At 40.2% G+C, this 16,561-nt stretch overlaps 1 protein-coding gene across 2 annotated transcripts in view; it reads right to left on the reverse strand.

The window, feature by feature from the left end:
• The window catches only part of RHAG (Rh associated glycoprotein), a 31,665-nt gene extending 16,848 nt beyond the window's left edge, over positions 1–14,817 (reverse strand). For both annotated transcript variants that reach the window (NM_000324.3, XM_011514788.2), the window contains exon 1: positions 14,634–14,817. In NM_000324.3, the coding sequence (NP_000315.2) occupies positions 14,634–14,790 (157 nt within the window). In that variant the 5' untranslated portion in view covers positions 14,791–14,817. The remainder of the gene's footprint in view (positions 1–14,633) is intronic.

Raw genomic sequence — 16,561 nt, forward strand, 5'->3', positions numbered from 1 at the left:
TAATTTATTGGTTTTAAACTGTGCAGTTACCAAATGATATGGTTTGGCTCTGCGTCTCCACCCAAATCTCATCTTGTAGCTCCCATAATTCCCATGTGTTGTGGGAGGGACCTGGTAGGAGATGACTGAATAATGGAGGCAGGTCCTTCCCGTGCTGTTCTCTGACAGTGAGTGGGTGTCACAAGATCTGATGGTTTTTTTTTTTTTTTTTTAGACAGAGTCTCATTCTTGTCCCTCAGGCTGGAGTGCAGTGGTGCGATCTTGGCTCACTGCAAGCTCCACCTCCCGGGCTCAAGTGATTCTCCTGTCTCAGCCTCCCAAGTAGCTGGGGTTACAGGTATGGGCCACCATGCCGGACTTGGTACTTTTAGTGGGGACAGGGTTTCACCATGTTGGTCAGGCTGGTCTCGAACTCCTGACCTTGTGATCCACCCTCCTTGGCTTCCTAAAGTGCTGGATTACAGGCGTAAGCCACCGCGCCTGGCAATCTGATGGTTTTAAAAACAGGAGTTTCTCTGCACAAGCTCTCTCTTTGCCTCCTGACACACCATGACACCCAAGAGGTGACTTGCTCCTCCTTGCCTTCCACCATGACTGTGAGGCCTCCCCAGCCATGTGGAACTGTAAGTCAAATAAACTTCTTTCGTTCGTAAATTGCCAGTCTCGGGTATGTTTTTACCAGCAGTGTGAAAACGAACTAATACACCAACTAATTCAAGAAATTGTTTTATCTAATTTCATAATTTCTGTTAGTGGAACAATTATTCTGCAGATTTCACCCCCCTTCCCCTTTGATGGAAAACCAGACTTTTTTTTTTTTTGTTTTGTTTTGAGACGGAGTCTCGCTCTGTCGCCCAGGCCGGACTGCAGTGGCGCTATCTCGGCTCACTGCAAGCTCCGCCTCCCGGGTTCACGCCATTCTCCTGCCTCAGCCTCCCGAGTAGCTGGGACTACAGGCGTCCGCCACTACGCCTGGCTAATTTTTTTTGTATTTTTAGTAGAGACGGGGTTTTCACCGTGTTAGCCAGGATGGTCTCGATCTCCTGACCTCGTGATCCGCCCGCCTCGGCCTCCCAAAGTGCTGGGACTACAGGCGTGAGCCACCGCGCCCGGCCATTGAGACATTTTATATTGGGGTAAAGAAATTTCATATATTAACTGTGCTTCACTGTTTTTCCCTCTTCTGATGTAATTCTTGTTACTGCTTTTCGCCACAAGGGGGCTTAAGAACCTCATTTATTATTTAAATTAATGAGAGCTTAAAAGTTGTGGAGGCTCTTGACAGATAATGATTCCGTGTGAAATATACGAATAAAAAGGTTTATAAACAACTAGGATTATTGCATTATCATTTATCCTGCTTTAAGAGTTTGTGGGTGGGGACCAGGGAGAGGGCCACAACTATAGTTGTGTGGTGCAAGGCTCTGCCACTAAAGGAATACAGTGTCCATTTTATAGAAGAAAAGGAATTTCTTTAGGGGTTCGCACTTTGGAGAAATCTTCCAACAGGTTTTAAGGATTGTCAAGTCTTGTCTAAATCAGTGATTCTCAACAAGAGGTAATATTAACCCCCAGACTACATTTGACAATGTCTGGAGACATTTGTGGTTGTTGCAACTTGAGGAAGTAGAGTGGTGCCGCTGATGTCCTGAGGGTACAGACTAGGGATGCTGCCAAACTTGCTGTGGTGAATAGGACAGCTTCCCACAAGGAAGTATTGGGCTCAAAGTGTTAAGGGTGCTGCTGTGGAGAAACCCTCATCTAAATCAACTATGCTTTTAAGGATTCATAGTAAGCGGTGTAAAACTTTAATTTTCTTTAAACATTTTAGACCAAAACAGAAAATGCTGGCTTGATTTACTTAAAAATTTCTGCCCAGCAGCACAGCAAATTTTGCACTCTGTTTTGGGCCAAGATAGCAGCGGGGAGGGAACCAGGTGCCTACATTTTCCTTGCTCCCTTCTCCCATTCCTTGCTGCCCCCTGAGATCATAGCAACTCAGTGTTTTTATTTCAAGCATTTTCCTGAAAGTTGTTAACAGAAAATAAAAGAGAATAGTGAAAAGTATAAAAGCGAAGAAATCTCAAGGCATTAGAATCCTACACTGTTCTTAGCGTTCCCATCCTCCTGGCTGTGATAAGTTGTGTCTTTCACATTTATTTATTACTTATTATTTTTATTAATTAATTAATTTATTTTGAGATGGAGTCTCACTCTGTCTTGCCTAGGCTGGAGTGCAGTGGCGCAATCTCGGCTCACTGCAGCCTCTGCCTCCTGGGTTCAAGTGATTCTCCTGTCTCAGCCTCCCGAGTAGCTGGGACTACAGGCGTGTGCCACCACACCTGGTTAATTTTGTATTTTCAGTACAGACAGGGTTTCACCATGTTGGCCAGGTTGGTCTCGAACTCCTGACCTCAGGTGATCCACCAGCCTCGGCCTCCCAAAGTGCTGGGATTACAGGCATGAGCCACTGTGCCTGGCATCTTTCACATTTAGAGAGGCATCACACTGATCAAAGACACTGTATTAGCTCTATGCTAGCTAGTAGTTTATATTCCATTCTAATTGTTTACTAGCTGTGTGTCTTTGGATAACCAGTGATTTCCTCATCTGTAAAATGGGACTAATACTTCATAAGGCTCCATGAGGGCATGTGTTTTATTTACCTCCTCATGTCTCCAGTATCTGGTACAGAGTGCATGTGAAATATATCCAGAATAAACATGTAAACTGTGGTGTACATCTAACATCTAACACACTTTTATGTTTTGATATTCGTGTATATTAAGGACTATCACATGTAGGATCAATCTTCAGGGAGACCACAATATTTAGCCGTTTTCAAATAGCCAAACCTGTTTCTTTGCTATTAGTTGATGACATGCATAAAACCCCCCATATTATCAGCTGTGTAAAAATCAATTTTATCTCTATGTGTAAATATGTGTTTGTCTGTATATATCTTTATATATTTTAAGCTCACAGTGCCTTATCTTGGAAAACATCAGCAATTGCTTTGAATTCTACAATTTTTGTTTAGAATACAGGGATATAAGATCACTCACCTGATGTTTTCACTGAGTGAACTCATTTTCCCACAAAGAATACATTCTCACCCTTTAAAAGTTGACTGATGTTAGTGAAGACCAAGAAATATTTTGGCAAATCTGTTGGAGACAATCAATCCATGTAGACAAATGTGGCCTAAATTCCTACCTGATAAACAATGCTGCCTATAGAATGTAGTGGTTAAAACACAGGTTTTGGAGGCAGACAATCTGGGTTGGAATCTGACTAAGCTCTTTCATTTACCAAACATTTGACCTTGGGCAAATTGCTTAATCTTTTTAAACCTCAACTTTACCATAGGTATTTCTTCTTAACATGTGTATTCCAAGGGTAGTTTTGAGGATTAGAAAATAAATACACGATAAGTTCACACAGTGCCTATGACAAATTAAGCATCATTATAATCAGTGGTTTTATTATAATTTAAAATTTGTTCTACTTTTCTGCTAAAAATAAATTTGGATTTGAGGTTGGTAACCAGAACCTGACAGGATACAATTTCACCATCATCATCACCATCACCACCACCATCAGCAGCAGCAGCATCCTCAACGTCATCTCATTCATTAGTAGAGTTTAATTTATGTTGTTAATTTTGTTCTATTCTACCTTTATATCTTGCAATAGGATATCTTGCAAGCCCTAATGTGTTACTCTGTTCTCCCAGTTCTAATAAAGACATACCCAGGACTGGGTAGTCTGTAGAGGAAAAAGGTTTAATTGACTCACAGTTCCACAAGGCTGGGGAGGCCTCACAATCATGGTGAAAGGCAAAGGAGGAGCAAAGTCATGTCTTACATGGCGGCAGGCAAGAGAGCTTGTGTAGGACAACTCCCCTTTATAAAACCATCAGCTCTCAAGAGACGTATTCACTATCATGGGAACAGCGCAGGAAAGAGTGGCCCCCGTGTTTCAATTACCTCCCACTGGTTCCCTCCCACAACACATGGGAATTATGAGAACTACAATTCAAGATGAGATTTGAGTGGGAACACAGACAAACCATCTCATTTCGCTCCAGCCCCTCCAAAATCTCATGTTCTTGCATTTCAAAACCAATCATGCCTTCCCAACCGTCCCCCAAAGTCTTAACTCATTACAGAATTAACTCAAAAGTCCACAGTTTCATCTGAGACAAGGCAAGTCCCTTCCACCTGTGAGTCTGTAAAATGAAATACAAATTAGTTACTTCCTAGACACAGTGGGGTTATAGGCATTGGGTAAATACTCCCATTCCAAATGGGAGAAATTGGCAAAAACAAAGTGGCTACAGGCCCCATGCAAGCCTGAAATCCAATGGGCAGTCCTTAAATCTTAAATTTCCAAAATGAACTCCTTTGCTTCCATGTCTCACATCCAGGTCACACTGATGCAAGAGGTGGGCTCCCATGGCCTTGGGCAGCTCTGCCTCTGTGGCTTTTCAGGGTACAGCCCCCTTTCCAGGCTACTTTCACAGCTAGAGTTGAGTGTCTGTGGCTTTTCCAGGGGCACGGTGCAAGCTGTCAGTGGATCTACCATTCTGGGGTCTGGAGGATGGTGGCCCTCTTCTCAGCTCCACTACACAGTGCTTTAGTAGTGACTCTGTGTTTGGGCTTGCACCCCACATTTCCCTTCTGCACTGCCCTAGCAGAGGTTCTCCATGACAGCTCTTCCCCTGCAGCAAGTTTCTATCTGGATATCCAGGCACTTCCATACATCCTGTGAAATGTAGGCAGAAGTTCCCAAACTTCAATTCTTGACTTCTGTGCTCCCACAGTCCCAATACCACATGTAAACTGCCAGGACTTGGGGCTTGCACCCGCTGAAGAAACAGCCGGAGCTGTACATTGACCCCTTTTAGCCATGACTGGAGCTGAAGCAGCTGGGATACAGAGCACCATGTCGTGAGGTTGCATAGAGCAGGGAAGCCCTGGGCCTGGCCCATGAAGCCATTTTTCCCTCTTAGGCCTCCTGGCCTGTAATGGGAGGGATGGCCATGAGGGTCTCTGACATGCCCTGGTGACATTTTCCACATTGTCTTGGTGATGAGGGAACATTTGGCTCCTGGTTACTTATGTAAATTTCTGCAGCTGTCTTAAATTTCTCCCCAAGAAATGGGTTTTTGTTTTCTACTGCATCATCAGGCCGAAAATTTTCTAAACTTTTATGCTCTGTCACCTCTCGAATGCTTTGCTGCTAAGAAATTTCTTCCACTAGATACCCTAAATCATCTCTCTCAAGTTCAAAGTTCTGCAGATCTTCAGGGGAGGGGCAAAACTATGCCAGCCTCTTTGTATAGCAAGAGTGACCTTTACTCCAGTTTCCAACAAGTTCCCCATCTCACTATCACCATTTTGGTCTAAGCCATTTAACAAGTCTCAAGGAACTTCCAAACTTTCCCACACCTTCGTGTCTTCCTCTGAGCCCTCCAAACTGTTTCAACCTCTGCTTGTTACCCATTTCCAAAGTTGCTTTCACATTTTCGGGTATCTTTACAGCAGCATCCAACTCTACCTGTACCAATTTACTGCATTAATCTGTTCTCACACTGCTAATGAAAACATACCTGAGACTGCGTAATTCATAAAGGAAAGGTTTAATTGACTCACAGTTCCACATGGCTGGGGAGGCCTCACAATCGTGGTGGAAGGCGAATGAGGAGCAAACTCATGTCTTACATAGTGGCAGGTGAGAGAGCTGGTGCAGGAGAACTCCCCTTTATAAAACCATCAGATCTTGTGAGACTTCCTATCACAAGAACAGCACAGGAAAGACTTGCCCTCATGATTCAATTACCTTCCACTGGGTCCCTCCCACGACATGTGGAAATTATGGGAACTACAATTCAAGATGAGATTTGGTTGGGGACACACAGCCAAACCATATCACTTAATAACTCAACATGTTAAAATGTAACTGATTATTCTAACACTCTCTACCACCCAAAAGAAACAAAATGAAACAAAACTCTCCTTTTCCTCTATTTCCTATATAGATATGTATATATGCCAGCTGCTTGGAATGATGTCCGCTCCATCTCACACCCAACACTTTGTGTGTGTGAGACACACACACACACACACACACACACAGAGAGAGAGAGAGAGACAGGGTCTTGCTCTGTTGCCCAGGCTGGAGTGCAGTGGCATGAACATAACTCACTACAGCCTTGACCTCCTCCTGCCTCCGCCTCCTGAGTAGCTGGGATTACAGGTGCACACTACCACACTCAGCTAATTTTTTATTTTCTGTTTTGTAGCGACAGGGTCTCACTATGTTTTCCATGCTGATCTCAAACTCCTGGGCCCAAGTGATCTTCTTGCTTCAGCCTCCCAAAGTGCAGGTGTGTCCGGAATTGGTGGGTTCTTGGTCTCACTGACTTCAAGAATGAAGCCGCGGACCCTCGAGGTGAGTGTTACAGCTCTTAAGGTGGCGTGTCTGGGTCTGGAGTTTGTTTCTTCTGATGTTCCGATGCGTTCGGAGTTTCTTCCTTCTGGTGGGTTCGTGGTCTCCCTGGCTCAGGAGTGAAGCTGCAGACCTTCGCGGTGAGTATTACAGCTCTTAAGGTGGCGCGTCTGGAGTTGTTCGTTCCTCCTGGTGGGCTCATGGTCTCGCTGGCTTCAGGAGTGAAGCTGCAGACCTTCGCGGTGAGTGTTACAGCTCTTAAGGTGGCGCGTCTCGAGTTGTTCGTTCCTCCCGGTGGGCTCGTGGTCTCGCTGGCTTCAGGAGTGAAGCTGCAGACCTTCACGGTGAGTATTACAGCTCATAAAAGCAGTGTGGACCCAAAGAGTGAGCAGTAGCAAGATTTATTGCAAAAAGCAAAAGAACAAAGCTTCCACATTGTGGAAGGGGACCAGAGTGGGTTGCCACTGCTGGCTCAGGTAGCCTGCTTTTATTCTCTTATCTGGCCCCACCCACATCCTAATGATTGGTAGAGCCAAGTGGTGCGTTTTGACAGGGTGCTGATTGGTGCATTTACAATCCCTGAGCTAGATACAAAGGTTCTCCACATCCCCATCAGATTAGTTAGATACAGAGTATCCACACAAAGGTTCTCCAAGGCCCCACCAGAGCAGCTAGATACACAGTGTGGATGGCTGCACTCACAAACCCTGAGCTAAACACAGGGTGCTCATTGGTGTGTTTACAAACCTTGAGCTAGATACAGAGTGCCGATTGGTGTATTTACAATCCCTGAGCTAGACATAAAGGTTCTCCAAAGGCCCCACCAGAGCAGCTAGATACAGAGTGTCCATTGGTGCACTCACAAACCCTGAGCTAGACACAGGTGCTGATTGGTGTGTTTACAAACCTTGAGCTAGATACAGAGTGCCGGTTGGTGTATTTACAATCCCTGAGCTAGACATAAAGCTTCTCCAAGGCCCCACCAGACTCAGGAGCTCAGCCGGCTTCACCCAGTGGATCCCGCACCAGGCATGCAGGTGGAGCTGCCTGCCAGTCCCGGTGTTGTGCACCCACACTCCTCAGCCCTTGGGTGGTCGATGGGACTGGGCGCCGTGGAGCAGGGGGTGGCGTTCATCGGGGAGGCTCGGGCACACAGGAGCCCATGGAGGGGGTGGGGGGCTCAGGCATGGCGGGCTGCAGGTCCCGAGCCCTGCCCCACGGGAAGGCAGCTAAGGCCCCGTGAGAAATCGAGCGCAGCGCAGGTGGGCTGGCACTGCTGGGGGACCCAGTACACCCTCCGCAGCCGCTGGCCCTGGTGCTAAGTCCCTCATTGCCCGGGGCCGGCAGGGCCAGCCGGCTGCTCCGAGTGCGGGGCCCGCCAAGCCCATGCCCACCCAGAACTCCAGCTGGCCCGCAAGAGCCGCACGCAGCCCCGGTTCCCGCTCGCGCCTCTCCCTCCACACCTCCCTGCAAGCTGAGGGAGTGGGCTCAGGCCTTCGCCAGCCCAGAAAGAGGTTCCCACAGTGCCCTGGTGGGCTGAAGGGCTCCTCAAGTGCCGCCAAAGTGGGAGCCTAGGCAGAGGAGGCGCCGAGAGCGAGCGAGGGCTGTGAGGACTGCCAGCACGCTGTCACCTCTCACAGGTATGAGCCCAGCCCCAATACTCCTTTACCTGAAAATCTTCTAGATACCTTTTAAGAATCATTCTCTGAGTGTTACCCATGTTGTGCATATCCCTCTTGTTTTATTTCGTTTGTTTGTCTGTTTTGTTGCTCTGTGTGCTCATTTGTCAGTTATTCAAATAGACTTGATGGAACACTGCCAGTTAGACACTTTTGCAGGAGAAAGTGAATGCAAGTCTGAAGATAGGAGTCATTAGGTGGCTTGTCTCAGAGAACTCAACAGAAAGTCTGCCACCTGTAGCTTTTTAGGAACTGCCTGATTTATTCATAAATAAATAGATTACTGGTGAGGGCCAGCTTTTTAGTGGCTCAAGGCTGGCAAGGTAGTTTGCTATACATATAACTTTTTGGCAATCTTTTGAACCAATGGGGTTGTATTCTAAACTCATCTTTTTTGAGAGAATAGTATCCTTAGGGCAGTATCTTCCTTCCTCCCTCTAAATATATTATTGTTACATATTTCAAATATTTAGAAAAGAGAATACAATAAACACTTACATACTATTCACTCAGATTTATCAGTTATTAATATTTTCACACTTGCTTTCTGTGTTTGTGTGTGTGTGTACATCTCCTAAGTAAAATACCATACAATTCTAAATACCATAATATCAGCATCACATCCAAGAAATGCCAACATCGGTATAATAATATGACCTAACATAGAATTATATTCAGATTACTCCAACTATTCCCAGACTGTCTTTTTATAAAATTTCTGGATTAATTATTCACTCAAGTTTCATACATTTTCTTTGTCATGTGTCTTTAGACGCCTTTGATTTAGAGCAGTTCTCTTACATGCTTTTCATTGCTGGTATTATTTCATTTTTTATGTAGAATGCCCTACAATTTGGATTTGTTTGATTGTTTCACCATGATTAGAATCAGACTAAATATTGTTGGCAAGAATATTATACAGATAGTATTGTGTACTTCCCACTAGATCACATGAGGAAGCACATAATTTGTTTTTCCTATTACTGATAATGGTAGGTTTGACCACTTGGTTAAAACTGGTGTTGCCAGACCTCTCCACTATAAGTGTAACTTTGACCCTGTAAGTATCAAGTAATCTCTGGGTGACTCTTTCAGAACATGTGAATGCCATGTTATCCAATAACTTTTCACCCAATGATTTTAGCTTCCATGATGAACATTGCTGAAATGAATTATTACATTGGTAATTTCAAAATTGTAATTTTCTATGTCTATTCTCCTTTATATTAATTAGTATTCTTCTATAAAGAAGAGCTTCCTCCTTCTCCTCTTTTTCTCTTTTATGCAATATTTCTATGGGCTTATTGAATCCCTTTTTCCTTATTTGAATTTCTATTACCATTATGTCATTATTATTTTAACACTCCATGTATTCCTAATTTGGCCTGTTGATGCCCCATTCAAGCAGGATCCTGTGTCCTTTTCACATGGCCCTGTTAGTCTTTAAGCACTTGGGTTACCTTGTGCTTTCTTTGCCCCAACCTGGAACCAGCAATTTCTCCAATGAGTCCCTGAGTGGGGAATGATATTTCAAATCCAAGGTCTTAGTTCTATTTGTGCCCATGGCTTGCAGGCCTTTTAAGTAGGCAAAACTGTCCAATTCAAAGGCATCACATCGGTTCTGCTAGAGACTAGTATCTTATTGTTAGGTCATATATTACAGACAGTATATTAATTCAGTTATCATGACAATTCCAGGTAACAATGCAGCAGCAAACCATTTCCTAGGAATTGTTTACACAGTAGAAATCAGCTACCTTTGTTTGTAACATGAAGATTTGCTGAATCTTTTGGTGAAAGTCATGAAATGATTTCGAGTGATGTGTAGATCCTTTGCCAGTTCACCTCTATCTTCAGTGGTTCCCAAACTGTGATCCACAGATATCTGGGTGTCCTGCAGACTGACTTTCAGGGAGTCTGAGAAGTTAAAACTATTTTCATGACAATTCTAGGATCGTATTTGCCTTTTGTGTATGACATGTCTTTTTAATACGTATGAATCAGCCTGGTGAAATACAAATATATGTAAAGCACTACTGAAATGTGATGGTATCTCAGAAAAAAAGCACTTCTGTGATTGATTGAGTTGCTAATTGAACAAGAACCATTTTAATAAGATTCCATTGTTGCTTGAAAGAAAGACTGACACATACATTGTTGCTTCTCAGACTTGAGTGTCTGGCAGATATTTTCTGAAAAATGCATGAAATGAGGCTATCATCTCAATTTAAAGAACTGACAGTATTTATAGCTATGATATATTCTCAGTTTTTAAACAATTAGAATTTCAGAAAATTTGTGTCTGCTATCACAAGCTTATCAACTTCCTGATACTTGGCAAGGCTTTTCTAGAGAGACTGTTGATGATATTAACGAATATTCTTTTTTATGTTATATATGGAAATATGTCAACATTTGGAAGACCTGTATAAGTCAGTGAATCAATATTTTTCAAATGGACAATGTAACAGTATTACAGTGTGACACATGAGTAAATGAGCCAATCAAAGTACAGGATAAACTAACGGATTTTTAATGCCACAGAGTATAAAAAAATCATTAATATGATTTTAATGTCCCCTAGATATTAAATACCTGGCATCTGTGGAATCTCTAATAAAATGTAAGCAGTCCCCAGAGAGCCTTCTCTTTAACCTTAATTTTCTCTAGTCCGTCTACATGTTAGCAAGGATTAGCTGACAGACACAGTCAAACTTCAGTGCTTGTTAAATTATTTGACTCAACAGGGTGACCAGCACTTTGATAGGTGCTATGGAAGCCAAAAACCATGGAGTATAGCTAGTTTATCAAGTGAGTATCTCAGGGGATATTCATGGCATGAAACATGATATTCAGGTACATAACATAGTTTCATGATTGTGCTTACGGTTGTGTGCAAACCCAAGGGTTCTGTAACCTAATTCCCTTCTCTACTGTTTAAAAAAGCACGACAGAATACAAGTGATGAGAATAAATTTGTATTTTCTGTAGTTTACTTAAAATGTAGATTAATATACAATTTCATTTATTTTTGAAATACTCAAATCTTTTACCACACTACAATTGAGAACTATCATAATGTACTGTGAACTTCTTGGGGAGGAACCGAGCCTTTTCTTTGCTTGAATCCCTGCACTGGCACTGGGCATGGAACTAGGTAGGCACCCAAAATGTTTACTCATTTGACTTGAACATTGTTTTCTATTAATGAATATTAACTATCTGTTCTCCATTAACTTATACCATTACATAAACTTTGTGTAAGTCAATTATTTGAAATGTAGGGAAATCCATATAGCATATATATGTATATAACACCTCAGTCATGTACTTTCTCAGTCTATTCTACAAACAATTTTAAGCAGGAATAATATAACTGAACTGGAAGATGAGAATTTTCCAGAATTTTGAGTCTTGAGACCCACCTTTCCTGAAGAGAGAACTTTTAATTGTGAATAGACTGGGTTATGGACAGCATTTTGAGTGAATGATGGCTACCTTTCATGTAAAATTTCACTTTGTGGCATTCTAGGTGCATAGGAGACAAGTTAATTAATTGCACGCAATGGATGCCTTGAGTCATTAGGATTTTGTTCTCTCTCTGGTGGAGAGAGGCTGAAAAAACATCTCTTGTCCAAATGCATTTATGTCTCTAATCTTGCTTCGTTTACAGCCATGGCATTTTTTTTAACCATCTAAATATATGGTATACATTTAGACATTCAGATGTGTCTGGTCACATATCTCCTTGTCTGCCTTTCCCTGTGGAATGTAAACTTCCTGAGGACATGGACTTTGCCCATTTTGTCTTTTTTTCATTTTCTTTTCTGTTTAAAATTGATACGTAATATGTATACACATTTATGGGATACATGTGGATGGTATTTCGATAAATGCATATGAATTGTAATAAGCAAATCATGTTATTCAGGATATCCATCACCTTGAACATTTATCATTTCTTTGTATAAGAAACATTTCAAATCTTCTCTTCTAGTTATCTCAAAATATACAATATGTTGTTGCTAACTACAGTCACCTTACTGTACGACAAACACTAGAACTTTTTCCTTTTATCTAACTGTATATTTGTAGCCATTAACCACACTTTCTTCATCACTTTCCCTGTTCCAACACCCTTCCCAATATCTAGTAATTATCATTCTACTCTCTACCTCCATGCAGAGAAAAGGAAATTCTTACACACTGTTGGTGGGAATATAAATTATAATGTAAACAATATGGAAGTTTCTCAAAAAACTAAAAATATAACTATCACATGAACCAGCAGTCTCACTACTAGGGATATTTCCAAAGAAAATGAAATCAGTATATTGAAGAGAAAGAGATATCTGCACTCTTATGTTTATTGCAGCACGATTCACAATAGCCAAGATACGTAATCAACCTAAGTATCCATCAGTGGATGAATAGATAAAAAAAAATGTGGCATATATACACAATGGAATCCCATTTTGTTTGTTTTATTCACTATCTAGTGCCTACAAGCTTGAGAGAGTTGAAGATTGCTTACGAGAATTGGTAGCTTAATAAATATTTTCTTCATGAATCATAAAATCAATAAATTTTCATGTTTTTACAAGTAGTGTAGAAGAGCGATGTGACTACTAAACTATATTTTTAAACAGATTTATTGAGATATAATTGACGTATACAATTATATACATTTGAGGTATACAACTTGACATTTTGATATGCATATACTTTGTGAAATGATCACTACAATCAAGCTAGTTAACACATTCATTACCTCTACATTGTTATTATTGTGTGTGTACACCTGTGTGTGTGTGTGTGTGTGTGTTTGTGTATACCTGTGTGTGTCGGGGGGGTGGGGCGAGGGGTGATCAGATTAAATTGAAGCAATATCCACTCAGCAAATTACAAATATCCATACGGTATTGTTAACTATCATCATTATGTTGCACACTAGATGTCCAAAAATTATACATCTATAGCTAGGCTACTGAAAAATGACCATGTTTAGTGACTTTCCTTCAACCTGGTGTTGATCTCAAATTGTGAATTGAAATTTTACCTAGAAGCTTTGATGCTGGGACTTAGAAAGTTCAGCTTGAATGATACAATTATTAAGCTCTTAAAGTCTTAAGATAACTTTATTTAAATCATATTAATCTTAGATCATATTTTTGGCATTTTTAACATTGTATTGCATCTCTTTGTTTACAAGTGTATCAGATAGTGGAGTCTTAGAATAAAAGAATCATATTTGTTTTATTTTTTAATAAATTTGCTGTAGCACATGCTTAGTGCTTAATAAAATATGTACTAAATGAATAAATGGATGAATGAATGAAATGTACAAAAGCATACATAGATGAACAGAATTTTTTCTGTTTTATTCTCTAACTTGCAAACTATAAAACTTATTTAATCAAGAACCCTCTCAGACATCTATGCAGTGTAAAGACAGCTAGACTTGGAGTCTAGTTTTCTCTGTCTTATTACCCTAACTCTGTCCTTAGCTTTCAATTTTATATTTTTCCTATGTCACTTAGCAACTCTAGGCCATTATTTCTACATGGGAATACCCCCATCATATTAATTCCCTCAAAAAATGTTGGAATAAAAAAAAGGGTGTCAAATTGTTTTTTAAAAAGCTTAGACATATGCTATGAAGTATAATAAACATTATACCATTTTAAATAATTTTTAAATTTTTTAGATTATTTGAACCTTACTTAAGAAAAGCAAATAGTCTATATAATAGTGACATACTACTGTCTTCCTTCCTGGCTAATGAGGTAATGGATGTGTTGGTTTATAATAAGGACGCAGTAAATGGTAGTTATTGTTATATTAACTATTTTACAGCCTACCCTTCCAAACTTGAATTAAATTTCTCTCTTTGCTCAATCATCATTCCCAAGGAAGGATTTTGTTTTTAAAATATGTTAAGTATTCACACATTTCTTTTCATCTCAAAGTAACAAACCGACTTCCTTTCAGAATATTGTAAAACTCTGAGTACACTTTTTTGATTAAAACTCCATTAACTTCCTACATCATACTAAATACCCCTTCTTATTCCTTAGGGTCCTCACATGAAATCTAGGGTTCCCTTCTTATAACTCCATTCTTAGAACTCTCTCTCCTCCAAAGTTACCTTTGGCCCTTTCAGTGGGGAATGCAAAGGAAGCGTGATACTTTTCTTTGCAGAACTAGTGACCAACTGAAGGAAAAAGGTCATTTAGCAGTAGATAAGCAATACAAAAGGCATCAATTATTTTAATTTTCAGCTTCTTGTTCTGATATTTTAATAGGAAAAAGTTCCAACCAAGCACCTTAATCACAGAGAAGAAGACCAGATGTCACATCACAAACATGTAATATCCTTAGCACTCATAACCATCATATAATTCTACAAAGAGCTCAAGGGTTTATAGTATTCAATTGTTTTACATTCTGAGAAACCGAAGAACCGAAAAATGTATAGTAAGTAGTAAATTGCCTACTCACGAGGATATAACTCAAAGAATATGCCCATGTCTGTTGGCTTGGTGATGTTGAGCTGCTCGAGAACAGTCTGGTCCGTTTCATACTCAACAAATAATCCAAATAAAACAATCATGGCAATTTCCAGGACTATAGCCATGAGAGGGAATGTGAACCTCATGTTTGTGGCAAAGGACAGAGGCACACTGAGAGCTTCACAGGCTGTGAGATGTTGATAAGAACAAAGGACTGCTCTGTGTGTGGAATTTGACTGCATGTTCAAGGCACCCCAATGACATCACAAGAAAAAAAAAATGGGCAAGACTGATTAAAATGCCCCACCCATTGGGGAAAATTATGCTCTGTAATCTAATTGTCGTTCTAAATGTTGATCTGAAGAATATGCAATGAAATTGTGAGAACCTGGATGATGCCAACAATCTATTGCACAGGCCTCTAGAATCATGTTTAACTTAATTCAGTAGACATTTCTTGAGGGCTTATTGTATACCAAATATTGTGGTAGGCTTTGTAGAAGGCATGAATCTAAAGCAATATATATAATTGGTCTGTTAACTTCTTGAGAAAATTAAGAATCTAGTTGGGAAAACATAAATATAAGTGAATGATTATATAAAAACAAATATGTGATATAATAGTGGTTATAAAAGTATTATAAAACATAAATAAGGCAGTGAAACTTTTTGCCTTAGGCCAAGAACATTAGCATATAAAACAATATGGATGTGAGAACTAGAACATAAATAGGGTTTTTCAAGTAAAACAGATAAGAGGGAATGATATAAATCTTGGAAGAACATGGCATGTTTTGGAAACGGCAATCAGTCAAGCAAAGCTGGAATGTAAAAGAGATGAAGAGAAAAGGAGGAAGTGGCAGAGATAATGTTGTCATGGAGGTGGCTGTGTTGTAAAGACCCTCACATTCAGTACCGAGGATGCTAGATGCTAAATATTATCCCATGAGCAATGGGGAATATATAGGACTGTAAGCAGTTTTATGTACTTATGAAGTTTTTGACTCCTTACTCTGATTTACGCAAGTGAAAATATGGAAATACACAAATGAGTTGTGATATATCTTTTAGTCTTAAATAGGAAGAGAGTAAACTTAAACAGGAACATAACTAATCTATCATCCTTATAGATAGTCAAGTGTAAATAAGATGCTAAGCAATTCAAAACTACCATATAGGTGGAGGAATTCTTGTCTCCTCTTTGGAATTGTTCTCATGGCAGAATAAACCTGTTTTTGAGAACTAAGAGCTACCAGTTAAATACAATTTCTTTCATGAAGCCCAATTTCCAAAAGATTCTATGCAGAATTTGGAGAGAGAGTGCAACTGACTGCCAGGATACATACATTGTAATAAATATTTATAAAACAAAGCAGCAGGATTTTTTGGTCTTTCTGGTATGATTTTCCACAGTAGAACATGATATGTTAGGACTAAGTGATATTTGAAATTTTATAAATATACAGACACTTTGAAAAATGACTATTTCCATTATTCGTTACAGCATAGTACAAGAGGAGTGGGTTCACATGCTTAGCTATGAAAATACATGTGTACATCTCACACTTTAATTTTTGGTTTTGCAGCAGCCTAAAGAGTGTTCATGAGAACTCCAACAAATCCTAAATGAAAAGTGTATATGTTAATAAACTATGCATAAACTTGTGAAAACCAAGTATCAAATAATAAATTGCAAGAACATCTAAACAATATCATAAACCAATGCGGTTTTAAACTCTTTAATAAAAAGTGACACAGTATATTAAACAATCCAAGACCGATGGCATCTCTCTTTCTCTGGGACATTTCCAGCAGCTCAGCAACCACTCAACACATGGGGAGTAGAGGATTTTACTCATATAGGTGATGGGACTATGCCAGCACTTGACTTCAGCCTGTTCAACTTCGAGGAATTCA

The sequence above is a fragment of the Homo sapiens genome, chromosome 6, assembly GCF_000001405.40.
Source record: "Homo sapiens chromosome 6, GRCh38.p14 Primary Assembly".
Lineage (NCBI taxonomy): Eukaryota > Metazoa > Chordata > Mammalia > Primates > Hominidae > Homo > Homo sapiens.